Here is a 27,159-nt window from a genome sequence, read left to right on the forward strand (position 1 = left end):
TTGTTAGTCCTGCAAAGGCAGTCTAATCCTCAGGCATGAAGAGGGCTTCTTTTGGGAAAGCGCTGTTACCATCTTTGTTTCAAAGTTAAACTATAAACTAAGTTCCTCCCAAGGTTAGTTTGGCCTATGCCCAGGAATAAACAGGGACAGCTTGGAGGTTAGAATCAAGATGGAGTTGGTTAGGTCAGATCTCTTTCACTGTAATGATTTTCTCATTTATAATTTTTGCAGAGGTGGTTTCAAGACAGGATCTTGCTCTGTTGTCCAGGCTGGAGTGCAGTGGCATGATCATAGCTCACTGTAATCTCAAACTCCTGGGGTCAAGCAGTCATCCCACCCCAGTCTACCAAGTAGTTGGGACTACAGGTGTTCACCACCATGTCCAGCTAATTTTTAAATTTTTTCTTTTGTAAAGTTGAGGGTCTCACTATGTTGCCAGGGCTAGTCTTAAACTCCTGGGCTCAAGTGATCCTCCTGCCTCGGCCTCCCAAAGTGCTGAGGTGTGAGCCACCGTGACTGGCCTTTTCTTTCTTCTAATGTTATTATAGATTTCTGCCCTTTAGGGACTGAGTGGTGATTTTGGTTCATTTACTCATGAAGACATAATAGAATCAAAATTAGACCAATGCAGTTACAGAAATACCAGGGCTATAAGTGGTTACAACCTCTTTCTTAAAAAACAAAAGGTATCTTTTTCAACTTTTTATTTAGAAAATTTATTTTATTTAAAAGGTATATATATACATAAGTCCCAAGATATAAAGTTCTAAACATAGATTTAAAAAGAGCAAAATGGAAAAAATATAAATATTTGCTGTTCCTGTTTATATCTTTTGTGCATTTATTGTCTTTTCTAAGGTTGGCATTTTTCTTTATTTTGCAATTTGATCCATACTTACAGTAAAAAAAAATCTAAATATTATAGAAAGGTATAAAGCAAAAAGTAAGAATTCCCTTCACTCCATCTTCTCCTCAGATATTGGTGAATCTCCTCCCAAACTTTCAACCACATAGATGCATTTTTGTTTTCAAACCAGAAAGCCATTAACACTAACTCTTTAAAGGCTGCGGCTGAATTGGCGAGATGAAGAATTATGTAGATTAAGGCTGCTGTCTCCCTATAGAATTTTTTGAGGGATTCCACCTTTTTTTAAAGCACATCCTTCCTGTTCCACACACTGAATCTGCCTGGTTTGTCTCAACTTGCTTTTAACTATTAGGCCTGTTTGGCAGAGGCAATATAAATTTTTAAAAATGTAAGATGTTTAAAATGCCATTAGCCTTTAGCACCTGGAATTTGAGGCAGAAAGGTATGAGTTAGGCAACCTTTCTTGCCATAATCCCAGTTTTGACAAGCCTCAAACACAATGTACAATATTTAAGACACAAATTCATTAGGTATGGGCTCAGGACAGCTTGCTCTTATTTAATACTTGCGTGCTTGTGGTTTTGCACAATGGATGGGTATTAGAGTTTGCCTTGGATACTTGGCATTGATTAGACTGTTCTGAAATTTGGTTATGCTTAGTCAAAAAATTCTGTTTATTGTTCTTCAGCAAGAATAGATGTAACCACTTTAAAAATAGTTACATTGTTTTCCAGATTAAGTAAATATTTCAGTTAGGAGAATACATATTTTTATTTTTATTTTCAGTTTTTGAGATGGAGTCTCACTCTGTCACCCAGGCTGGAGTGCAGTGGTGTAATCTCAGCTCACTGCAACCTCTGCCTCCCAGGTTCAAGTGATTCTCCTGCCTCAGCCTCCCGAGTAGCTGGGATTACAGGCAAATGCCACCATGCCTGGCTAATTTTTGTATTTTTAGTAGAGACGGGGTTTCACCATGTTGGCCAGGCTGGTCTCAAACTCCTGACCTCAAAAGATCCGCCCATCTCGGCCTGCCAAAGTGCTGGGATTACAGGCGTGAGCCACTGCAACCGGCCAGAGTACATATTTTAAAATTTGGAATGAGGATAGCTCTTGTTTTAGAACATGCACTTTAGTGAACTGAACCTTGGACTGATGGTTACAAGGAGTATGTAATGAGCTTTCAGGCTATGAGTCCTAAATCCTGACCCTGTCCTAAAAGAGAAAGGAAATTTCCAAAGTCTTCATCGTAGCAACGACACCCACTGAAATAGAAAAGTGGTGGAGTGAGGAATGGATGCTTGCCTTTGTTCTTGGCCTATTATTAGTGAATCCCAAGATAGCAGGCTTCCTGAAGATTGTTGTAGAGGTTTTCAGTGTTTTCAAGGATCCCCTTTTCAGCTTAAAAATAATGAATGCCTTTCACCTGACTACAGTTATCTTTCACCTATTCAATATAGAGATAATGAATGATGCCTATAGCATACCTTCATCTATGTTAATAACTGTATTGTCTTTGATGGGTATACAACTCAGATAGATTTGGAATTACTAACTTAAGGTACAATTTCTCCTTAATGTTGTCTCGGGCTTTGGCAAAATTTAGTTTAAAGGATATGAGTAGTGCTTTAAAAAATATTCCCTCCACAGTCTCCATGCCACCTTTAATAACAGAGTCATTCTCTTCTTCCTTAAATATCCTTATCAGACCTTCTAAAAGGAAGCTGTTATTAATGAAAGCCAAAAGCAGCTTGTAAGAGGAGAAATTATGCAGTGACGGGGGGCGGGGGGACAACCCTGAACAAATATTTTCTCTTCATAATTGGAAGTGGAAGAGAAAAAGTGAACAGGGGATAGAAATAAACCAATAAAATATGTAAACCAATAAATATGTAAACAGTTTTGCAGAGGCTGATTTATATTTTAGCAAGTCTCTCTATCGGCTATGATCCCCAAGTTTTCTTTTTAGAGAAACTATGATGCTGATAATAGCAGTTTTTACGCAAAAGATATTAATATTCAATGATATTTGGTAATGCTTGTTCAAATACAGGTTGAACATTCCTCATACAAAAATCTAAAATCTGAAATACCCCAAAATCCAAAACTTTTTGAGTGCTGACACCACCACTTGGGTCGCTAAGATAGTGACACCTTTGCTTTCTGACAGTTCAATGTATACAAACTTTGTTTCATGCACAAATTATTAAAAATATTATATAAAATTACCTTCAGGGTATGTGAACAAGGTATATATAAAATATAAATGAATTTTGTGTTTAGACTTGGATCTCATCCCCAAGATACCTCATTATGTACATGCAAATATTCCCAAATCTTAAAAAATCTGAAGCCTGAAACACTCCTGGTCCTAAGCATTTCAGATGAGGGATACTCAACCAGTACTGCTATATCCATCTACATATATAAAGCCACCGGGAGAACTAGTCCACTTGGTGCAGTCTTCTATACTGTCCTTCACAGCTTAGATTCAATCTTTCCTTAAAGTGTAGCCGGGATACACAGGAGTGTGATTCTGGGCTGACTCAAAGTTCTTCTCTTGAAGGCTTTTTCCTGTGGCACTGGCAGATGGCTGTGCTATCTTCTGGCTGAGGAACAAGTTCCATTCCATCACGTACTTCGGGTTTGCTGGACTGGCGCTCGGCATATTTCTGAAACGTGGGTTTAAAGGGAACTGAAAGGTTAGTTCACACTGCATTCTGTTGACTCCCCCACCCACTCCCATCCGCAGTCACGCCATCTTTTCTAGTTGCTGTGTGTCTGCAGACTAAAACCAAAGGTCTGGTTTATTCCAGTCCTAAAGTTACATTTTAACTTTAGCTATCACAGGCACTAGTTATAATTCATAATCTAGCAAGAAACCCCAATCCACAATTTTATGTGTTGGTTGGAAGCCTCTACAAAAGGGATGCCAAGCCAGACGTCCCTACCTGAAACAAACAGCAGCTCTCAGCATTTATTTTCCACTTGTTATTGAATAATTAACTTTGTTGAATACTCAAGCCAGCAAACAAACAAGATAACCATCTGAAAAGTTGGCAGTCTCACACATTCTTTCTTTTAGGCCTATAGTCACACGCATTTTTGAATGGCAACAGGTCTGTGTAATGTTCCTCCACTGTGGCCCTGAGTGAAATATTTCTATAAATGGAGTTTTTTTTGTTTTTGTTTTTTTTTTTTTTTGAGACACGGTCTTACTCTGTCACTGAGGCTGGAGTGCAGTGGCGTGATCTTGGCTCACTGCAGCCTCCAACATCCTAGGCTCAAGTGATCCTTACACCTCAGTCTCCTAAGTAGCTGGGACTACAGGCGCGTACCACCATGCCCAGCTAATTTTTTTCATTTTTTGTAGAGATGGCGTTTCACCATGTTGCACAGCCTGGTCTTCAACTCCTGGACTCAAGCAATCTGCCTACCTCAGCCTCCCAAAGTGCTGGGACTACAGGCATGAGCCACCCTGCCCAGACATAAATTGGATATTTCAATTCAATGATTCCATGTCCCTTTTGCTGTATATTCCTGGTACTGGACCAAATGCAACAAAATGTTGACACAGTAGATAAGCCTAATTAATATTTTAGAGAGAGAAATTCCTAACATTAAAATTGAAACTATTTGGGAGGCTGAGGCTGGAGAATCACTTGAGGAACCAGGGAAACACGGCAAGAGCTTGTTTCTAAAAAAAATAAATAAATTAGCTGAGTGTGGTGGTGTAGTCCCAGCTACTAGTGGGAGGCTGAGGTGGGAGGGGGGAAGAATCGCTTGATCCTAGGAGGTTGAGGCTGCAGTAAGCTGTGATCATGCCACTGCACTCCAGCCTAGGTGACCGAGTAAGAAATATATATATTTTTAGATGCATTTTGCTCTTGTTGCCCAGGCTGGAGTGCAGTGGTGCAATCTAGGCTCACTGCAACCTCTGCCTCCCAGGTTCAAGCGATTCTCCTGCCTCAGCCTCCTGAGTAGTTGAGATTACAGGCATGTGCCACCACACCTGGCTAATTTTGTATTTTTAGTAGAGACGGGGTTTGACCATGATGGCCAGGCTGGTCTTGAACTCCTGACCTCAGGTGATCCACCCTCCTCGACCTCCCAAAGTGCTGGGATTACAGGTGTGAGCCACTGCACCCGGCCAAGAAATTGTTAAAAAAACTGTTTAACGATTAAAGCTAGACCAACAGAGGGGACAGACCAATTTAAGGGAAGGAAGGGCTGCTTCTAGTAAATAGTGTAACTTATCATTTTTATTTTTCTATGAAAATGAAAATATGAGAGGGTAGTATCCACAAGCATCTAGGGAAATTTACTTTTACTATGCCTACAGAAAAATAAATTTAGGTTAAAAACAAGAACATAATTTCCTTTTTTTATTCTTCCTGTCTAGATTTTTCTGAGTAAAACTCAAGGTAGTTACTCAAAAGACCAATCCTCGGATTCCCAATAAACACTATACTTCAGGATTCAGCCCTAAGGTGTTAGAACTGTTATACATATTTCTCATTAGTTTGTTTGCTACAGCAAGCTAAATATTTGCATTCTGCCTTGTACTATAAAAGGCATGAATCTTAAGTATCAAGGAGAATAAGGAGGCGACATTTTGAGTAAAAAGGGATGTTAATGATCTCCAGTCCAACCATCTTGTTTTCCAAATAAGAAAAAATGTTTTTCTCTGAGGTTCCAGAACACCTACACTAGGAATTCAATAAAGCATTTAATAAAAGAGAGCACTGAGAAGATGGGAGGAGTTGCTAATCTATATTTGTGAGGGCTCCCAGCGTCGTTTTACATAATATGGAATAAAGATGAAAATATGGAGGCCACGGCTGGGCGTGGTGGCTCACACCTGTATCCCAGCACTTCAGGAGGCCAAGGCAAGGCAGATCACCTGAGGCCAGGAGTTCAAGACCAGCCTGGCCAACATGGCGAAACTCCGTTTCTACTAAAAATACAAAAATTAGCTGGGCATGGTGGCGTGTACCTGTAATCCCAGCTACTTGGGAGTCTGAGGCAGAATTGCTTGAACCTGGAAGGCAGAGGCTGCAGTGAGCTGAGATTGAGACACTGCACTCCAGCCTGCATGACAGAGTGAGACTTCATCTCAAAACAAACAAACAAACAAAAAACAAAAAAAAGGGGGCCACCAAATGAAGACTTAGCACTATCTTTCCCTAGGCAAGTGCCTTGGCTTAGCCAGTGGTCCATAGGCTTGACTGTGAGTCCTTCAGGAAGCCAGGCAGGAAGTGTACAGGCCAAGCGGGTAGTCTGAGGACACCCGACCCAGCAGTGTGGACGGACACTCTGAACTGACCTGCAGTACTTGGTAATAGTAGCAGTAAAGCCTGTGTGGCTGTAGTAGGTCCCTAGCCATCAACTGTCCTTCTTTTGCAATCTTCTTGGCTTCTTCATCATTTTCCTGAAAGGTTAAAAAAAATAAAAATGAATGAAAATTACTACTGCGACCCACAAAGAGAGGGTTAAGTGTGAGGTGGGACAGATGTGGGGTTGAAAGTGAACAGCATGGGAAAGCCAGAACATAATGGAATTATAACTTAAGAATGAGGCTACAGGGGCCGGACATGGTGGCTCACACCTGTAATCCCAGTACTTTGGGGGCCCAAAGCTAGAAGATCACTTAAGGTCAAGAGTTCGAGATCAGTCTGGCCAACATGGTGAAACCCCATCTCTACTAAAAATACAAAAATTAGCTGGGTGTGGTGGCGGGTACCTGTAATCCCAGCTACTCAGGAGGCTGAGGCACGAAATTCCTTGAACCCGGGAGGCAGAGGTTGCAGTGAGTGGAGATCGTGCCACTGCATTCCAGCCTGGGCGACAGAGTGAAACTCTGTCTCAAAAATAAATAAATAAATAAATAAATAAACTAATAAATAAATAAATGAAAGAATGAGGCTACAGGAAGAGACAGAGTATTTTCCTAGACATCTCCGTTAAAGAGAAACGATCACATGTTTGGCCCCTCTTCCACAGTACTAGGAAGCCACTCCTTCTCCCCACAGTGCAACAACCCACATGCAGCCCCTATTGTGACCATCTTGGTACCTTCCTGGCCACCCAGGAAGTACTCTTCAGCTTCCGCATCTGTCCCACCAGCCTATTTCCTCTCTGCATAACAGGAGAATGAATCCGTTTTCACGTTACAACATCTTTTAAAAGCTCCATGCAAATACGCAGTCAACGTCAAAAAGTTGTGTTATAAAATGGTAGCTATAAAAGACTGTATTGCTTTTGTAACCGAAAAATTCAGTCATTAGTACCCACAGGCTGTTCATTCAGTACCAGAAATAGTCAGCGTTCCTAATTATACTTTTGGAAAACAGTTAATCTTCTACAATGCTGCCCGCAGGTAAGCCATTTGCAAGCAACTGAGGCTCTTATGAAGGGTCACAAAAGTGATTCTGCCTCAGGCGCCCAATTATTTCTATAACCATATATTGTTTCTTAGAATCTTAGTATAAAGTCTCATAATGGAAGGGTACATTTTTATAGCTTTATAATAAAACGCAACAGCTTTTTAATACTTTTCCTTTTAAAAAAGGAATTCCTATTTTATAGGAAACGTGATGCTTGCGTTGTATAACACGCATTCATTAAGAATTTGTGCCTTTTTTCTAACTGGGGATAAGAAAAGAGTACTGTAATTGCCTGAAATATTTTCTTGTTCATAAAGCACCTTAACTCTGGTCTTTCAGTCAGTAATTTGCATTTTGTATATTCTTGTTTGTATGTGTAAACATAGCATTTAGAAAATCTGTATTTTATATAAGGCTGGACTTCAAATCTTCTGAAAATCTTCAAAAATGTTGATAGAGGGTATGCAAAATGATTCTGATGCTGATTCTTTAGATATTTCAAGGGAACAGCAATTTCAGAAAATAATATTTCTTTTCATTCCATTATGTCAAATCAAATTGTATTGTGATGGAACTCATCTAACACTGATGAATTTGTTATTGCTTAAAGAAATAAAAATTGCTGGACGCATACCTTAGCCCATTTAACTTTCTCTAATAAATCACTCAGATTTCTTTTAATTGGAACATAATGCTTCCAAGGTTCTAGTGCCATGTAGAAATGTTCATAATATGGCGAGTCCTGCTTTAAAACCAGACTGTCGCCCAGCATGAGATATGGATATCTGTAAGCAGCCACGGTCCCATCCACATTTACTTGATACTTGTACTGGAAGATGAAAAACAAACATAAACAAACTTTCAGTAGTCATTTGCTTCACTTCTGCTCCTCATCAACACTGTAATACCAACTACAGAGGAATTATTTTCCATTTTCCAACTTTTTTGTGTTTAAAAGTTTTATTTTATAACTTACATCTTCTCTTTGTATAAAAATCACAAGCAGCATTTCTCAGATTAATTTTAAGAAATACATTGTTTAAAGGTAAGGTGCTAAATTTTTGGAAATAGGAGTGAAGACCTATTTCAATCATGTCTCTGTAATAATGGAATCCAGATTTCTGTAACAAGGTAGGAAAACTATTTTCTTTTTAAGTTTTAATTAATTATTATTATTATTTTTTTGAGACAGTGTATTGCTCTGTCACCCAGGCTGGAGTGTAGCGGCGTGATCTTGGCTCACTGCAACCTCCACCTCCTGGGTTCATACAATTCTGGTGCCTCAGCCTCCTGAGTAGCTGGGATTACAGGCACCCACCACTGCAGCCAGCTAACTTTTTCCTATTTTTAGTAGAGACAGGGTTTCCCCATGTTGGCCAGGCTGGCCTCAAACTCCTGACCTCAGGTGATTCGCCCGCCTCAGCCTCCCAAAGTGCTGGGATTACAGGCGTGAACCACTACGCCCAGCCAGGAAAACTATTTTCAAAATTCTTAAAGCTCAATACTGATAACAATGAACACTTTCATTTATTCATTATTTCATTTGTTCCTTATACGCAGTCTATGAAACAGGCAGGCATTGTCTCTATTTTACAGTTTTAGAGCTGAGGAGATAGAAACCTGGAGACATTTAAGGACTTGGGCAATGCTGGCAACATAGTAGGTAAGCTGTCTGCATATTTGTTGGGTTAATATACTTTGTTTTCCATTTCAAATGTAGTTTTCATAGGCATTAAACCTCATTCAATTAGAATAATCTGAAGCAGGTATTATTAACCCCTTCTTTTTGTTTTTACAAATGAGAAAACTGGTATTCAGAGAAATGTATAAACCTCATTCTCTGAGTCCAAATCCCCTGTTCTACTCATTGTATCACTCTGGGATGAAGAGGACACACTCCCAGATTTGGTAAATAAATTTTTCTTAAATAATTGGTACAAGGGAGTTTTTGAGCCCATCAGGTTTTGTCACATTGTTCACATCTCTCCTCTGGGCCTCGTGATAATGCTCTGAAGGAGTAGGCAGGCATCACACGGGTTTAAAGACCAAGGCACCAAGACAGGAAGGTCCCATAGTTGGTGGCAGAGGCAGGATTAGAAGCAGGCCTTGAACCCTAATCCCAACTCCCACTTTACATATATGGAATTTATGCTTTTTCTATTTATAAAAGACATTTGAGATCACTTTATGTAAAAGGTATTTATATTCCCAGTTTATGAAAGCAAATACAAAAAAAAAAAAGAAAGAAAAACGAGACATAAATATACCAAAATCCCAGGTTAATCCTTGTACTATATTTTGAGAATTAAGTACAGTTCTGAGCTATTTGGTAAACTTAACAATGAAAGAAGGAAACCACAATGGGTTTTGTAATTCCTGATATCTAATAAGAAAGTGTGAACATGTGTGTCAGTTCACAAGCCAGGTGAAATTTGCTGAAGCCCACCTATTTTGGTAGACTTTTAATACAATTTTATCGCTTCATATCCATAGAAGAAGACTCAAATGCATACCTTAAAGAAATCAAAGAAACCCATCAACTTGGCTTTTCCAAGCTCCTTTTCTTTCTCTTGGAAAAAGAAATATCCTGTAATTCCTGCATCTAGTAGCTGAGGATTTTCTTTGGACAGCTGTACCAACTGGAGCCTCTCCTCTCGGCTGTCTCTACCTCTGAAGAAAGCTCTCTCTGTTTTATTGATCCAGGAAGGCCCTACAAGTTTGAAGCCATAAAAAAATTAGGATTATGAATTTGACATTTTAATATGGCAAGCATAATCCTCTTTAATCTACCATTGTCATTTAAGATGCTAAAGCTCTTTTATCAACTCATCTTCTAAAGTAGATGTTATTTCAACGAAAATATGGGATTGAGTCTCAATTTGCCAGAAGCACTTTCAAGTTTAGAGTTTAAAAAAAACAGTCTTTTTATTTGCTGTATTATGTAAAAGAATGCTCTAATTTCATCCATTTGTCTGCTAGTGAAAGCTCACGCAAGTATTCGTGTATTCTGTTGTATAATACTAGGAAATACCTGAAATAATGTCGGACCGTGTTCAAAGCAAAAAAGAGATTCAGTGACTGGGTCCACTCACCAAGGCATTAGCTTCTTCCATTTTCTGTGTTTCACAATAAAACGTGAGCTAGCCCTTTGTTCTTACAAAGGGTGACCAGAAAAAACTATATAACTGAGGAACATCCACAAATCTTTAATCCCTAGGTTGGTCAGAATTTTCAGTACAAGACTTTTTCTAATATGCTACTGAATGCAAACATATATGTATAACCCACTCTGTCTCTAAGCTTTTTCTTCATTAATTAGCCTTGCATTTCCCTGAATACCTGTATTTCCCTGAATAGAGAGGAGATCATTTGTAACACCCCGCATGGCTTCAAGCATGGAGTGGGTGATGTCATACGTTGGAAGGACAACATCTCTTGAATCCAGAGAGCCACACCATGAAATGATAGGTATGGGGCTAGGGGTTCCATTGACTTTTCGATGCTCCAAGGGCCAATCTCCAAGATTAACATAAAATTCTAAATCTGGGAGAAGGACCTAAATAAACATATAAACAAACATCAGTGCTGGGAAGATCTCAGTCTTTGGTACTAAGTACAACAGTTCTTTGGTTTTCTTACATATTTTTGACAGGGCTAACCATTCAAAAACAGAGAAGAGAGAAGAATGCCTGTCATTGACAGGATGGCTGTGAATTTGTCACCTGTGAGGATCCTGCATGACAAATTCACTTAACCAGGAGTCAGCTACCTCTGTCCAGAGATGCATGTAAAATTCAGTGTTTGAGGCTGGGCGTGGTGGCTCACACCTGTAATCCCAGCACTTTGGGAGGTTGAGGCGAGTGGATCGTCAGGAGTTCAAGACCAGTCTGGCCAACATGGTGAAACCCTGTCTCTACTAAACTTACAAAAATTAGCTGGGCTGGTGGCAGGCACTTGTAATCCCAGCTACTCAGGAGGCTGAGGCAGGAGAATCGCTTGAACCTGGGAGGCAGAGGTTGCAGTGAGCCAAGATCGCGCCACTGCACTCCAGCCTGGGCGACAGAGCAAGACTCTGTCTCCAAAAAAATAGAAAAAGAAATAAAATAAAATAAAATGTAGTGTTAGAGAAGTGAAAATTGTGTAGAGAGGTAAGAATGAATAGCTTCGATAACCCTCTGCCAGCTGCCTAAGCAAGAGAATCTACAAAGTTAGAACCAAACCCTTGTTTTCCTTCACTGTCCCCATCTTTGCCTCATGTGCCCTTGCCTCTGGAACCTGCCAGTCCATTTCCATCTCCACGGTCAATGTCTCAGTTTAGACTCTCATCATTTCTTGCCTAGATTGCTGCAATAACTTCCTTACTAGGTGTTCTGATTCTGGGCTCTCCATACTGTAATCTGCTCTCCACAAGGCTGCTCAGATTTCCAAAACTAAAATTAATTCTAAAACTAAAATTTCTAAAATAACTTTGTTAATGTCACTACCAAGCTTAACAGAACCTTAAGCCTATGGCACAAGATCTCAACTCTCTGGCTGGCATTCAAGGCCTCACAATCTTGTCCCAGCTTGGCTATAAGCCTCATCTTTCATCTGCCCACCTACCAGGAAACCTTAGGCTACTCTCTGAAAATGCCATCCACCTCAACATGTAATTCCATTCACTTGGAATGTTTTACTTATTTAACTTGGCAGTCTCCTTTCTCATCCTCCAAGCCCAGATCTAACACCACCTCTTCTATGACTCACCCTCCTCAGGCACTTAAACCCTAGGTACTTAATTCTCTTGAGGCCTATCATCATATTGGGATATAATTATTTGTTTGTATTCACATCCCACCCCCACTTCCAAACAACAAAAACAAATCCCACTACAGTGGGCTACTCAGAGACTAGGACTGAGTCTCACTTATCTTAGATTTATTTCTTCCCCAGCCACTGGGCAAAGAACAAAAGGAAAGGGCAAGAGATGTGAATATTCACCCTCTTGCTTCCCTGTCATTATTATTATTATTATTATTTTGAGACAGTGTTTCACTCTGCCACCCAGGCTGGAGTGCAGTGGCGTGATCTTGGCTCACCACAACCTCTGCCTCTCAGGTTCAAGTGATTCTTGTGCCTCAGCCTCCCAAGTAGCTGAGACTACAGGCACGCACCACCACACCCGGCTAATTTTTGTATTTTTAGTAGAGATGGGATTTCATCTTGTTGGCCAGGCTGGTCTCAAACTCCTGACCTCAAATGATTCATCTGCCTCAGCCTCCCAGAGTGCTAGGATGACAGGTGTGAGCCACCGTGCCCAGCCTCCCTGCTATTATTTATAAACTCTTTAATAAACTCCACATTGGAAGTGCTCACTGTGGAGTAGGGTTTCTCAAGCTCATATTATTGACATTTGGGGCTGGATAATTCTTTGCGATGGGGTTGGGGGGTGCTATCCTTTGCACTGTAGGATGCTTACCCACTAGATGATAATAGCAACCCCTGAGTTGTGACAACCAAAAATGTCTCTAGACATTGGCAAATGTCCTCTGAGGGGCAAAATCATCCCTGGTTGAAATCTACTGCTATGAAGCCAGCAACATGGATTAAAGAGGCAAGAATACAGGGCACAGTTGACTAGTTGTAGCCCGGGAAGAGAGCACTACCTTTAGGAGCAGATGCCCATCACATGCTTGTATCCTCACATTGTGGGCTGGTGGTGGAGGGGTTGGGGACTGCTATTTAAAGTAAGAACTGACTGCAGCCACACAGTCAGCATACTTGGGGAATTGTATAACATATCAGGAAAACTGTGTTTTTTTTGGTTTATAAAACTCCCTTGGCCAGGCGCAGTGGCTCATGCTGAGCACTTTGGGAGGCCAAGGCGGGCAGATTACGAGGTCAGGAGTTTGAGACCACCCTGACCAACATGGTGAAACCCCTTCTCTACTAAAAAAACAAAAATTAGCCAGGCATGGCGTGCATCTGTAATCCCAGCTACTCAGAAGGCTGAGGCAGGAGAATCGCTTGAACCCAGGAGACAGAGGTTGCAGTGAGCCGAGATCGTGCCACTGCACTCCAGCCAGGGTGGCAGAGTGAGACTCCATCTCAAAGCAAACAAACAAACAAACAAACAAAAAAACTCCCTTTATGGTCTCTCTAAGTAAGAAAGATAAATATTGCCCACCTCCATCCTTCACCCTGTATGATCAGAAACAAGAACAAAAGGTGGTTTAAGTTGCTCTGCTTAAGAGGAATTTAGAGTTCTGCAAATGTGGAAAGAGAGGCTGAATAGTGAGATAAGGGGGCGCTATTGGGGGATGTGGGGAGCCTGAAAAACAGAGGGCCTAACCACATTAGTGAGAGGCTAAGAACTTAAGGTCAAGGACAGCCCTGAGAAATTCCCAGAGGCAAGTATGACTGAGAGTCTGATTAGTGCAGAGATGTCTATTTTTAAATATCAGGGTTTTTGTTTGTTTGTTTTTTAGTATGCACTGGTGAAAAAAAAAACAACCTGTTTCTGGTAGCCCAAGCTTTGACAAAATGTCCCATGCACGCTATCTTCTAGGTATGCTTAGGGTAAAACAAGGAAAATGTGTTCTAAGTTCAAGTCATTTTGAGGTGAAGAGAAGAAAACAGCTGCAGAAGGTGAAATCTAAGCAGGAGTAGTATTCAGCGGAACAGAGAACTTAAAGCGGCCTCTTGACATGGTTGTGCATGCCTATAGTCCCAGCTAGGATCAAGGCTGAGGCAGGAGGATGGCTTGAGCCCAAGAATTTGAGACCAGCCTGCTCAACACAGCAAGACCCCATCCCTATTTAAAAATAAATAAATAAATGAGACTGTTCTGTTTGGATATTGTAAATATAGACTATTTGAAAAAAAGAATAAGAAGTAACCTTGTTATAAATCTCTGGAAGCTCAAAGAAAGCTTGGGAGTGTCCTGTATGGCATACCTACCTGGGATGGGGGCTCAGCCACTTTATTCTATTTTATTTATTTATTTATTTATTTATTTATTTATTTATTTGAGATGGAGTCTCACTCTGTCACCCAGGTTGGAGTGCAGTGGCGCAATCTTGGCCCACTGCAGCCTCCACCTCCTGGGTTCAAGGGATTCTCCTACCTCAGCCTCCTGAGTAGCTGTGATTACAGGCGCCCACCACCACGCCCAGCTAATTTTTGTATTTTTAGTAGAGATGGGGTTTTGCCATGTTGGCCAGGCTGGCCTTGAACTGCTGACCTCAGATGATCCACCCGCCTCAGCCTCCCAAAGTGCTGTGATTGCAGGTATGAGCCACCATGCCTGGCCTCAAGCCACTTAATTTTAAATCTTACAGGAAAGTAAGATCCACAAAGATGGAGAACATGATGAACACTCAGGTTGCAAATATCTTAGATGCCCATTTCTCAGCCTGAAATCTGTTTCATCCTTTGTCATTATAATTCTAAACATTTAAATGTTATACCTAAATAATTAAACTGTATTATCAATTCATTCATTCTCCTACCTTTCTTGTCAATGATAACAAAATCTCATCAGAGAACATCTTGAAGTCTGTGTATTTCCCTAAAGATCTCCGGTAAACATGGTTATTGAGAATCGTGTAATGAACAATGGCACCTCTCTCATCCCCAAACCTTTTGGGGACTTCTTTTAGCATTTGCTGGAGATTGATGCTGGGAAAGGAAGCAAAATCTTTTGCAATCTGTGGTTCCTTGGTTGGACAAGAAAGAGTCTTCTGCCAGGCCTGAGGATCTTCCGGACACTCACAGTACTCATGGTACACTGGTCCTAGGGAAGGAAAACATGAAAAAGGCCGCACTCCATTAGCAAGCACCACAACACAGGGAGTCACTTCTGTCTCTGCTTCTTGGTGAATTCTAAGATTATCCAGAGATAATCTGCCCTAGACAAATCAGTGGTGTAAGTGATTATGTTAGAGTCCTACACTTTTACTTTCCTTTTCACACCACCTTGGATAAACAGTTTAGTATATGCCCTCTCCCAATCTAACCTACTCTCGGTCACTTAGCTCATAAATTCATCTCTAATAAGGTATAAATGGCTGGCAAACATGAAACAACTTACCTTTTAGCAAGGAGAAAAAGAACGTATTAATTTTTAGACATTATGTAAACCAAAAATAAAATTCTAAGCCTCCTAGACCGTCCAAATGGATCCCTCCTTTTGGCCAAGGGCATTCCAAAGTTAATCTGAAAAACTAGTTCGGCCACGAAGGGAAAGGGGAACCAGGCATGCCTCATTATACCCTCCTCCCTTTTGGAATTCAGGCCTAGCTGACCAGCATTAACATCAACACAAACTTTGTTGAACTGACTCTTTAAGTCTGATAAGAAACATTTGCAATCTCCTCTGTCGCCTGCTACCTGGAAGCCTCATCTGCATGATAAAATCTTGGTTTCCACAAACCCTTATCATAAGCCCAGACATTCCTTTCTATTGATTCTAAGTCTTTACACAATAACTTAATTCTTTCAACCAACTGCCAATCAGAAAACCTCTGAATCTACCTATGACCTGGAAGCTACCCCCAACCCCTCCCAACCACCCCCACCCCTTCCAGTTGTCCCTCCTTTCCAAACCAAACCAATGTACATCTTAAATGTATTGATTAATGTCTTATGTCTTACTAAAATGTATAAAACCAAGTTGTAGCCTGATCACCTTGAGCACAGGTTCTCAGGATGTCCTGAGGGTTGTGTCATGGGCCATTGGTCATTGAGTCTGAGAGATGGGGGAACAATAAGGTAAGCCCTACAATTCCTACAGCTTACTGCTTAAGGGAGCTTCGAGGCTGTAGTGCAGGGAGGGAAACTGTAGGCAAAAACAGGTAGTCTCACTGAATTGAATATTTGGCTCAGAATAAAGCTCTTCAAATATTTTAGAGTTGGACTCTCTTCTTTTTTCTTTCTTTCTTTTATTTTTGTTTTTTGGTGGCAGGGGGACAGAGTCTCACACTGGCTGAGACTCTGGCAGAGTCGCCCAGGCTGGAGTGTAGTGGCGTGATCTCGGCTCACTGCAACCTCCTCCTCCCATGCTCAAGTGATTCTCCTGCCTCAGCCTCCCGAGTAACTGGGATTACAGGTGTGCACCACCATGTTTGGCTAATTTTTGTATTTTTAGTAGAGACGGGGTTTCACCATGTTGGCCAGGCTGGTCTCAAACTTCTGACCTCAGGTGATCCACCTGCCTCGGCCTCCCAAAGTGCTGGGATTACAGGCGTGAGCCACCATGCCTGGCCATAAGTTTGACTCTTTTCATTGACAACAAGTAACAGGGACTGATGTACCACCCCACCTGAAACAACCAGAAAACACTCCCACAAAACATATGAAACAATAGTTTTTTGTTGTTTTTGTTGTTGTTTTTTTGAGATGGAGTCTCACTGTGTTGCCTAGGCTGGAGTGCAGTGGTGTGATCTCAGCTCACTGCAACCTCCGCCTCCTGGGTTCAAGTGATTCTCCTGCCTCAGCCTCCTGAATAGCTAGGATTACAGGCACTCACCACCACGCCCAACTAATTTTTTGTATTTTTAGTAGAGACGGAGTTTTGCCATATTGGCCAGGTTGGTCTCGAACTCCTGACCTCAAGTGATCCACCTGCTTCGGTCTCCCAAAGTGCTGGGATTACAGGCGTGAGTCACCGCACCTGGCCTTAAACAATAGTTTTTAAGGCACTAGGTATTAGGCAATGAAGGACAGTGAGTCTGAGAGATGGGGAACAAATAAGGTAAGCCCTACAATTCCTACAGCCTACTGCTTAAGGGAGCTTTGAGGTTGTAGTACAGGGAGGGGGACTGTAGGCAAAGCCAGGCAGCCTCACTGAGTTGAGGAGACAGAGCTGGCAGTCCAGGGAGACCAAGGCAGCTCTAGACTTTGTAGGACAGAGTATCTAAAAAGGAAGCACTGCACAGAGAGAACGTTAGAGATCTATAGAAGGTCCTCTTCACATATTGAGCAGAGCATATGATCAGTGCATTTTGGATGGGTTCTTCCCCTGTATTGATTCTAAAAATAATACAGTTTAATTATTTAGGTATAACATTTAAATATTTAGAATGATAATGACAAAGGATGAAAACAGATTTCAGGCTGAGAAATGGACATCTAAGATATTTGCCACCTGAGTGTTCATATGTTCTTGGGGAAGACAGGGGAAGAACCCATCCAAAATGACCAGAGAGAACAGTACTTATCGGTGGGTACCAGCCAGATTGGAAAGCCTCCTAATTCACAGGGCTTGGGTAAAGTATGCAGAAGGGTATTACCTCAGTAGCGGGGAATAATTAGCCCTAGACTACACATGGCTCTAGTCCCACCTAACAAACTGTAAAAGCAAAACTTGGAAGGATTAAACTATTTCCCAGTGATTTAACTGCACCCCAGAAAAGAGCTCAAGAAGATGAAAAAGCATCAAGAGGTGAAAACTACACTGTATAGGATTGACAACAGATCGTACATTGCAGAAGAAAAGAGAACTTAGAGACAGTAATAGAAACTATACGAAATGAAACAAAGAGAAAAAAGAATTTAAAAAATGAAAAGGGTATCGATGAACCACAGGATAGTTTCAAGCCCAATATATGGGTAATTAGTATCCTTGAAGGTAAGGTGGAATGGAACAGAAAACATATTTGAAGCAATAATGGCCATAATTTTTCTAAATTTGATGAAATTTAAATCACTTGGATGGTTTAAATTCCAAGAAGTTCCACAAATCCAAAACACAGGAAACATTAAGGAAACTGCACCAAGGCACATAATAATCAAACTTCTCAAAAGAACTGATAAAGAGAAAACCTTAAAAGCAACACAGATGAACAAAGATAAGGAAAATGCTAGATTTATTGTTAGAAGCAATGCAAGTGAGAAGACAGTGGAACCACATCTTTAAAGTATCAAAAGAAAAAAAACCCATCAACCTATAACTATAACTAGAGACAATGTCTTTTAAAAACAAAGGCAAACTAGGCCGGGCATGGTGGCTCATGCCTGTAATCCCAGCACTTTGGGGAGCCGAGGCAGGGGGATCACTTGAGTGCAGGAGTTTGAGATTAGCCTAGGTAACATAAAAAGACCCTGTAGAAACAAAAAAATGTTTTGTAGAAACAAAAAAATATTTTTTAATTAGCTGGGCATGGTGGTATGTGCCTGCAGTCCTAGCTACTTGAGAGGCTGAGGCGGGAGGTTTGCTTTAAACTAGCAGTTTTTGTTTCTGTTTTATTTCGTTTTGAGACAGGGGGTCTCACTCTGTCCCCCAGGCCAGAGTGCAGTGGCACGATCACAGCTTACCGCAGCCTCGATCTCCCTGAGCTCAGGTGATCCTCTTACCTCAGCCCCCTGAGTAGCTGGGACTACAGGTATGTGCCGCCACACCCAGCTAATTTTTTGTAGAGATGGGTTTTTGCCATGTTGCTCAGCGTGGTCTTGAATTCCTGGGCTCAAGTGATCCTCTGGCCTTGGCCTCCCAAAGTGCTGGGATTATAGGTGTGAGCCACTGCACATGGCCTAGCCCAGCAGTTTAAGGTTGCAGTGAGCTTTTTTTTGAGATGGAATCTCGCTCTGTCACCCAGGCTGGAGTGCAGTGATGTGATCTTGGCTCACTGCAACCTCCACCTCCCGGGTTCAAGCGATTCTCCAGCCTCAGCCTCCCGAGTAGCTGGGACTTCAGGCATGCGCCGCCACCATGCCTGGCTAATTTTTGTATTTTTAGTAGAGACGGGGTTTCACCATGTTGCCCAGGCTGGTCTTGAATGCCTAAGCTCAAGCCATCCACTCGCCTCAGCCTCCCAAATTGTTGGGATTACAGATGTGAGCCACCACGCCCAGCCTGCAGTGAGCTTTGACTGTGCCACTGTACTCCAGCCTGGGCCATAGAGCAAGACCCTGTCTCAAAGTAAACAAAAAACAAATCAAACAAACAAAAGGCAAAATAAAGTTTTTTCAGACATTCAAAAGCTGGAAGAATTCATCACCAGCATTCTCACAGTAAAATAAATATTAATAAAAATCCTTTAAGCAGAAGGCAAATGTTACTAGATGGAAATATGGATCTACACAAAGGAATGAAGAGTTTCGCAAATAGTAACTACATGGATGTAAATACACAAGATTTTTTTCTTATCATTTAAATCTCTTTACTTAATTTTCTTTCCCTTAAAATTTAAATTGAGCTCCAGGAGGTATGTATACAATGTTTACTTTACTGCACATGACTTTGAGGTCATCAGGTTTAGGCCATTCTGAAAGGCATGGGACCTACACACAAGGCTGACTCTGGAGTATATAATAATCACTTACCTTTCAAAATATAGGGAGACTGAGCCACATGTTCATCACCATAAAGGACCTCTATCTTCAGGCCTTCATCGACAGTTTCATACATCCTATATCTCATCAAAAATGTTCCATCATTCCTGTCCAAAGGTTTAGGGACATGTATCCGGACCAACTCTTTAGGTGAAAGAGATTTGACTACGACTTTGAATGGTGTTTCACCTAAAAGGAAAAGAAATATAAACAACTCTACCATGTCATGATAATGATTTACAATTATTGGATAGGTGTTATTGGATAACTTAAATATGTTGCTTTTTCCTGCAGCATTGGTGGTTAAAAAAAAATCATTTCCTTTGGAAGATCTTTGAGGCCAGGAACTGTCATGTCTGGTTCATGCATTCTTTTTTTTTTTTTTTTCTTTTTTGAGACAGGGTCTTGCTCTGTCATCCAGCTAGGAGTGCAGAGGCAGAATCCTAGCTCATTACAGCTCCAACCTCCTGGGCTCATGAACCTCCTGCCTCAACCTGCATCAGCCCCATGAGTAGCTGGGACTATAGGAGTGTGCCACCATGCCCAGCTAATTTTTGAAATTTTTTGTAGAGATGGTGGGGGGCGGGATGGGTTGGAGGGGGTCTTGCTGTGTTGCCCAGGCTGATCTCAAACTCCTGACTTCAAGCGATCCCCACTGCCTCAGCCTCCCAAAGTGTTGGGATTACAGGCTTGAGCCACAGAGCTTGGTCTGGTTCATGTATTCAAACCACGGATCAGACTCAACATTTGAATCATTAGTCATTCAATAAAGATTTACTGCATGAACAAAAGCAAATCATTTTTTAAAAGCAAATAAAAAATAAACTTTTTGCTTATTTGGTCTTTCCTCCTTTGGGTAGGATTAAAGCCCAAATAGTTAAAAATCCATGGACTCTAAGCATGACAGATCTCTCTAGTAATCGAACTTCCTCCTTATAAAACACACACAAGCTTTCTTTGTATACCATTTCAGTATCTAATAACCTTCATTTCTGTGAAAATTTCCCCGTTTATTAAGCCCAAATTTCAAGTGGTACTTCTAAGGCCATTTCCTTACGTAGAGAGAGATTACAGCTAGTTACCAGACTCTTGTACAAGCTCACACACACACACACACACACAAACACACACATACACATCTTTGTAAATACTAGAGATTACTTCTGAGTCTGTTTCCTCAGCTTGAAATGAAACAGTTACACTGTAATAATCCATTCCACCTTCAAAGTTTTGTGGGGTTTCTGTTCTACGTAAATAATAACTATTCAACAAACTTTCCCTTTCCTATTAGCTGACATTTAGGCTTTGAAATGATACTGTTGTGATTAGTGTTACTGTGGCCAGGAATAAACTTTGAAACTTCTTCCTTCAGAGAGTGCAGAGGATATACCATTTAGATCACCATATCAAAGGAAAATGCTAAAAAAGTAATGAATCCTTGGAAATCCACAGTCCTAGCAAAAGGAAAATTGTGACCAAAGTTGTTTTTCACTTCGCATATTATAAAATTTAGAATATTTAAAATATATCTTTTGAAATTACTAAACACGTTTGTGAAATTCTTAGTTTCTAAATCGAGTGAGTGTAATATCTACTTTCTTTTGATCTTTAAGGGTTTTTTTTCTTGTGAGTCTGCAGAAATGTTTCTCAGTCTCTTCAATTTAGTAATAACAATGTGGTATCTGACATCTTGCTATTAAATATTAATAATCGAGTACCAAACATATACATTTTAGGATCCTTGAAACAAGTATGATAAAATTACGAAATAAATCTGCTAACCTAAATGAAGTATAATAAACATGGAAGATGCTATAAAGTGGTAATAATTTAATAGGAAATTATTAGAAATGTTGGCCAGTTACCTGAACTGCACAAATGAAACACATAAATTATTGCTTTGCATTATTTCCCACATGGTTTCAGAAAGGCAACATGGCACAGCAGATCGAAATCTGAAGAGGAAAGTCTGGGAATTGGAAAGCCATTTTCATTGCTCCCTCCCCAAACTGGAAATGTACAAAAAGGTTTTCTTATTTCCTGATCAAACAGTCTTATTCTCCATATATTATTATTTTAAATAAACAAAACAGTTATAAGACAAGAATATTATTGACTATGTGACTTTTGGGAAAGACAGAAAAAAACAACTAGCTTCAAAATGCGTCAATTATTTGTAAATTGAAAGTATCAGACTAAAGAATTATGGTCGCTTCCAGTTGTAATATTTTTTGTCGCTGAAATATCATTTAAAAGTTACATTTCAAAATGTATGTATACAACTATAATATAGCCATTGGAAATATATATTTTAAATGTTCAGTTATTTTTTACAGTAATCTGTCATGCCTGTGTCATTGTTGACATGAAATTAATGTTAGAATCAATGCAAGATAATATGGATCAGGACTGAAACAGAAATAAGAATTCTAACCTCATAAAAGAGAAAATGAGAAGAGTGAAATTTCAAATTCCTTCAAATGGAAGGCATGAAAATTCTCATTAGCTCTGGGTACTAATATAGTGGGATAGAATTGAGGCTCAACGGCAGGCGTGGTGGCTCACGCCTGTAATCCGAGCACTTTGGTAGGCCAAGGCAGGTGGATCACAAGGTCAGGATTTTGAGACCAGCCTGACCAACATGGTGAAACCCCTTCTCTACTAAAAATACAAAAATTAGCCGGGCATGATGATGCGCACCTGTAATCCCAGCTACTCAGGAGGCTGAGGCAGGAGACTCACTTGAACCCAGGAGGCGGAGGTTGCAGTGAGCCGAGATCGCGCCACTGCACTCAAGCCTGGGCAACAAAGCTAGACTCTGTCTCAAAAAAAAAAAAAAAAAAAAAGAATTGAGGCTCAGCTTGAGTTTTCTACTCAATAAATTCAAACTTAAGAAAAATAGCTAACTGGATGAGAATGCAGTGACTATGTAGACAAAAGGAGGTTGGCAGCATCAAAGTGTTACATCATTAGAATCAGAAATCTTGAACACGTTTGATTTGGTAAGAAATCAAAAGCATATTTAGAAATTCACTTAGCACTTTTTATGGGCTTGAGACTTTCATATGTATTTTCTATGTCATTTATTTCCTACAAGAAATTTGAGGTAGGTATCTGTCACTCCCATTTTATAGATCAAGAAACCAATGCTCCAAGAAATAAAGTAACTTGCCCAAGGTCACATACATAATGAGCAGCAGAGCCAATATTTGAATGTAGCTTTGCAGCAGTCACAGTTGGAGGAATACTTCTGGCACTTCGGATACAATGGAGTCATCTCCTCCTCTGTTGTTTAGGAAGCTCATTAAGGCCCTCTACAGCTGCAGCAAAAGTGTTGACCCCACACGGTCAAGGGAAACAAAATCCCAGAAGGCTAAGGTGTTGTACCATGAGGCTAAATGGAAATCCTCCAAAAATATCTGGCTAGCTGCCAACGACGAACACCCTCCAAGATCTTATTGTAAACTGACGTACGACAATCATATTAAGGATGATTTGATAAAACAGAAAGAGCAATGAAGTAGAAGTTCAAAGGGCTGTTCCTGCCTTGGCTCTGACACATTCACTGTGGAGCCCACTGGGCAAGGCATTTTAGCTTCACTGAGCCCAGTTTCTTATGTGTAAAGACAGTAATATCTATCCTTCCTACCTTACAAGACTATTTTGGAGGACAAATTAAGCAAGCCATAGTATAAAACACTAAAGTACTACACAGCCAGGAGGTAAGATTATTTTATGAAGATATTATTACTGATGAAGGTAGAAGACTGAGTAGAAAATAAGTATTTATATCCTTCCATCTTGACATATTTCAATCATCCCTCCCTCCACCCCTTATTTCTTTTCATCTACAATAGTTACTCAGCATCTCTAGCAAGCATTGTGCTAGAGACTGGGAATATAATAGTATCAACAGGTACTGCCTACATTCATAATTGAAGGAAATGTTCAATTTAAGCAGGAGTTTACTGAAAATAAAGATACAGTTCTTCCCCCCACCCAAGGACAAAGACCCTATAATTTCTGTTTGTGAACCCCAGTTTGAGATGTCCTGCTTTAGATCACTGAAGTTCACAATATTTTTGTTATCTGGGTACTTGGATATATGTAGCATAATAGTGGCATTCAGGGAAATTCTACACTGTCGAATGGGAGTGATAATAAGGGAAACTTTCTAAGTTGTGTACAACAGGCTACAGCTTGAGAAGATTTTTCCTCTTTTCCAATTAGTTCTTTTGTGTGTGTGCAGTGGCACAATCTCAGCTCAATGCAACTGCAGCCTCCCAGGCTCAAGAGATCCTCCCACCTCAGCCTCCCCAGTAGCTGGGACCACAGCTGTGCACTACCACGCCTGGCTGATATTTTGGATTTTTTTGGTAGATGGGTTTTGCCATGTTGCCCAGACTGGTCTCAAACTTCTGAGTTCAGGCAGTCTACCAGCCTTGGCCTCCCAAAGTGCTGAGATTACAAGGCATGAATAACCAGCTATTCAGTTGGTTCTTGAAGAGGGAAAGACTTCAGGACTTGGAAGTGAATGTTGGTGGCAGAAATGTAAGAAACTAGTTGGGTGAGTTTTCAGAACTATACGGCACCTTTTTAACTGGAAGCCAGAAATCAAGAGGCCTGAAAGGAAACAAAGGGAATCCAAAGGAATGAAAGTAAGGTTGTCCAAAAAGTTCCATTTTATTTATTTATTTAGAGAAAGGGTCTTGCTATGTTGCCCGGGCTGGAGTGCAGTGGCACAATCATAATGCACTGCAACCTTGAGCTCCTGGGCTCAACTGATCCTTCTGCCTCAGCCTCCCAAGTAGGTAATTTTTAAAATTTTTATTTTAAGTAGAGATGGAATCTTGCTATGTTGCCCAGGCTGAGAAGTCTTTCTAAGACTAAAAAAGGTAAAAAAAGAAAAGTCACAGATCACAGGGGTAAACCATGCAGAATCATAAATGTAACTTTCCTTCTGTTAAGATATTTAATAGAAACTGTCTGTAAACTTTTTCGTTTGTTTAAATATATTTATGTATATATAATATATGTACATATAAAACATATACACAACTTTAAGTCATGTATCATTTGGATTTTAACTGAGAGTCTTTAACATACATTAGAGATTGACAAACTAGCTAATCCAGCTCAGTGCCTGTTTTTGTAAATCCTGTAAGCTAACAATGATTCTTATATTTTTAAAATGGGGATGGGCATGGTGGATTATGCCTGTAATCCCAGCATTTGGGGAGACTGAGGCAAGAGGATCCCTTGAGGCCAGGAATTTGAGGCTGCAGTAGCTATGACTGTACCACTGCACTGCATCCTGGGTGACAAAGACCTTGTCTCTTAAAAAAAAAAAAGGAGGAGGGGGGTTGGAGAAAAATCAAAATAATAATATTCTGTGACTTATGGAAAACTATATGAAATTGAAATTTCAGTGGCCATAAAAAGTTTTATTGTAACATAAACGGGTTTGTTATATGTCCATGGCTACAAAGCACAGCTGAATAAATGTGAGAGATGATATCACCTACAAAGCCTAAATTATTTACTATCTGGCCCTTTAAAGAAAAAGTTTGTGAAACCCTGATATACACACATGCGTTTCTGTCAATAGAGTCGGAATTATTTTACCTAAATGCATATCATGCATATGAAACCAGTTGTCTGAGTATTTAGGGTCTAACTGGTAGACACGTTATCAAAGCAATGCCCAAAGACAACTTCAGGAGTGGTGTTCTGAATCAAATGTAGAAAACAAGCCACTGAGGTAGTTAAGGGAGAGGCAGATTCTTGCCTCAGCTCAAATTTCTCCAGTGGCTCTCTTTTATCTAGTTATAAAGTCATTTGCTTGGCATTCAAGGCGCTTGAAGACCAGAGGCTACAATCAACCAGGCTTTTCCGCTCAGTATCATTAAATTACAGTACTTATTTTCCCGAACACCACGGTCTCCTACGCCTCTGTGCTTCTGCACATGCCATGGCGTCCTTCTATATGCCTGCCCAGCAAACCTTCTCATCCTTCAAGTCTCTGCTCCTGAAATCTTCCTGGATTTCTCCAGTCTCTGGCAGTGCTTCAATGTTGCCACTGCACTCTGTACATACCTTCAATTATCTTGTACAGTGATCAGTTATTTGCATGTCTTTGACCAACAGACTGTAAGTTCCTTGATGGTCAGGCATTGTCTTTTCATCCTTAGATTCCCAGCAGAATTACCAAACACAGAAGTAGACATCAAAGAAGTATTTCTTGAATGAATGAAATTTTAAAAATCATTAAATCTAAAAGTGAATTATGTTTGGTTCCTAAATTCTCTGCTTTGCCCAGCTGTCAAGACCCCCTTACCCCTTTCCCAAGTTGGGACACACTTCTGGCAGCTATGTTCCCAGCTGGACTAGCAGGGGCAGAGGCACTGGTTTATTCTAATTGTCTCTTCGCTGATACAACAAGGTGCTAGTTGGCCAGAGCCCCAAATTATACATTAGCAAATCCTGACTGACAACAGCGTGAAACCAGCAGGACAAGTTTTAAGAAGTTGCAAAGGTTAAGACGTGAAGGACAACGTGGGAGGAGGACCGGGCAGAAAGGGATTCAGGACGAGATCCATCTCACCCTCCGTGGAGGGAAAACCGAATGATTTCTACTGAGTTTCCCTAGTTCCTGTAATCTGCTTTCAAAAACTCAGAACTAAAAAGGAAACAAAAAACTAACACGTAAACCCCTCCTCCTTCCTACGGCTCTGACATTTCCTCTGCGTAGGATTTCGTTGCTCCAAACCCACCAGGCCTAAGCCATGTAATCCGACGCGATCCGTCGGCTTGATGACTCACCACTGGAAAGCGCTCCCTGCAATCCCTCACAGTTCAGACAACTAAGTCCGAGATGGAAGGCAACGTGTGACTCACGGCACACTCCTTGTAACGCCCGGGCGCCGTCCATTCGCAACATCAGTCCCTGCACATTAAATGCGGAAGGGCCCTTCAAGTTCATTCATTCATTCATTCCACAAACTTTCGTGGTGATTTTTGCCCGCTTTGAGTATGGGCGGGAGGAGGGAAGAGGAGCTGACCAGACCCAAAAAGGGGCGACACACGCCGGGGAGGGACGCCACGCAGGCCGCGGGCGGACTCCCGGGCGGCGGGGACGCGCGGGGACCCGGCCGCGGGACGAGGGAGGCCGGCGGCTGGACACTACCTGCGGGAGAGCGAGTGAGGTTCTGGCCCTCCGAGTTGACCGCCTGCAGGTAGAAATAGCGGACCGGCAGGACGACGGCCGCCTGCAGCCCGGGCCCCCACACCAGGCTCCGCGGCGCGCTGACCAGCACCTCCGGGGCCCCCGCGGCCACCAGCAGGGCGAGGCGCAGCTGCAGCAGCAGGGCCCGCGGGAGGCGGCGCATGGTCGGCGGGGCACAACTGCGGTCCAGCTCCGCGGCGGCGAGGAGGGGCCGGCAGCGCCGCGGACCGGGCGGGGACTGGGGCCCACCGCGGGGCGGGTCTTTCGGGCGGGAAAGATTGCGGCGCAGGCTCCCTTTCCCGCCCGCTGTCCCGCCTCGTCTCCCTCGGGCGGGAACGCGAGCCAGTGCCGCAATCACCCACTGCGCGCCC

At 41.4% G+C, this 27,159-nt stretch overlaps 1 protein-coding gene and 1 long non-coding RNA gene across 7 annotated transcripts, besides 4 other annotated features; one reads left to right on the top strand and one right to left on the bottom strand.

Annotated features, from left to right (window-relative positions):
- POGLUT3 (protein O-glucosyltransferase 3) lies at positions 701 to 26,969 on the bottom strand. 6 transcript variants are annotated; one of them, NM_153705.5, is made up of 8 exons: positions 26,750 to 26,969; positions 19,555 to 19,752; positions 14,742 to 15,025; positions 10,591 to 10,807; positions 9,765 to 9,961; positions 7,886 to 8,080; positions 6,192 to 6,296; positions 701 to 3,537 (listed from the first exon to the last, which is right to left on the bottom strand). In NM_153705.5, exons 1-8 carry the CDS (start codon positions 26,949 to 26,951, stop codon positions 3,412 to 3,414), a joined length of 1,524 nt encoding a protein of 507 aa, NP_714916.3. In that variant the 5' UTR covers positions 26,952 to 26,969; the 3' UTR covers positions 701 to 3,411. The 6 variants fall into 6 exon arrangements, with proteins under 6 accessions (NP_714916.3, XP_011540923.1, XP_047282377.1 ...); XM_011542621.3 differs by having other exon boundaries at positions 26,386 to 26,969; XM_047426421.1 differs by lacking the exon at positions 26,750 to 26,969 and adding an exon at positions 26,386 to 26,733 and having other exon boundaries at positions 19,555 to 25,803.
- Positions 2,050 to 2,194: an enhancer, noted in NCBI's record as "145 bp 11:108344264 sequence used in MPRA reporter constructs". NCBI's record gives its function as "activates a minimal TATA-containing promoter with rs72992191 allelic activity by MPRAs in UACC903 melanoma cells {active_cell/tissue: UACC903}" and the evidence as "EXISTENCE:reporter gene assay evidence [ECO:0000049][PMID:36423637]".
- Position 2,122: a transcriptional cis regulatory region, noted in NCBI's record as "rs72992191 or 11:108344264 MPRA-significant variant associated with a GWAS melanoma risk locus at 11q22.3". NCBI's record gives its function as "allelic transcriptional activity by MPRAs in UACC903 melanoma cells {active_cell/tissue: UACC903}" and the evidence as "EXISTENCE:reporter gene assay evidence [ECO:0000049][PMID:36423637]".
- LOC124902749 (uncharacterized) lies at positions 7,049 to 9,831 on the top strand. Its single transcript, XR_007062879.1, has 3 exons — positions 7,049 to 7,244; positions 8,848 to 8,914; positions 9,745 to 9,831. It is a non-coding gene; the product is annotated as an uncharacterized LOC124902749 (long non-coding RNA).
- Positions 11,267 to 11,445: a silencer, noted in NCBI's record as "fragment chr11:108353409-108353587 (GRCh37/hg19 assembly coordinates)". NCBI's record gives its function as "represses an EF-1alpha promoter that drives an FKBP-Casp9 reporter gene in an ReSE screen in K562 erythroleukemia cells {active_cell/tissue: K562}" and the evidence as "EXISTENCE:reporter gene assay evidence [ECO:0000049][PMID:32094911]".
- Positions 26,602 to 27,121: a silencer, noted in NCBI's record as "silent region_3878". NCBI's record gives its function as "represses an Ori minimal core promoter by ATAC-STARR-seq in GM12878 lymphoblastoid cells {active_cell/tissue: GM12878}" and the evidence as "EXISTENCE:reporter gene assay evidence [ECO:0000049][PMID:35858748]".

Source organism: Homo sapiens, chromosome 11 (assembly GCF_000001405.40).
Source record: "Homo sapiens chromosome 11, GRCh38.p14 Primary Assembly".
Taxonomy (NCBI): Eukaryota; Metazoa; Chordata; class Mammalia; order Primates; family Hominidae; genus Homo; species Homo sapiens.

What these genes read in the sequence shown, in the direction of transcription:
- POGLUT3 (NM_153705.5), bottom strand. Translation starts at nt 26,951, where the DNA reads ATGCGCCGCCTCCCGCGGGCCCTGCTGCTGCAGCTGCGCCTCGCCCTG. An exon ending in CCTCACTCGCTCTCCCGCAG is followed by an intron (nt 19,753 to 26,749) that starts GTAGTGTCCAGC and finishes TTTTCCTTTTAG; the next exon opens with GTGAAACACCATTCAAAGTC. An exon ending in CTCTATTCAGGGAAATACAG is followed by an intron (nt 9,962 to 10,590) that starts GTATTCAGGGAA and finishes TCAAACTTGTAG; the next exon opens with GGCCTTCCTGGATCAATAAA.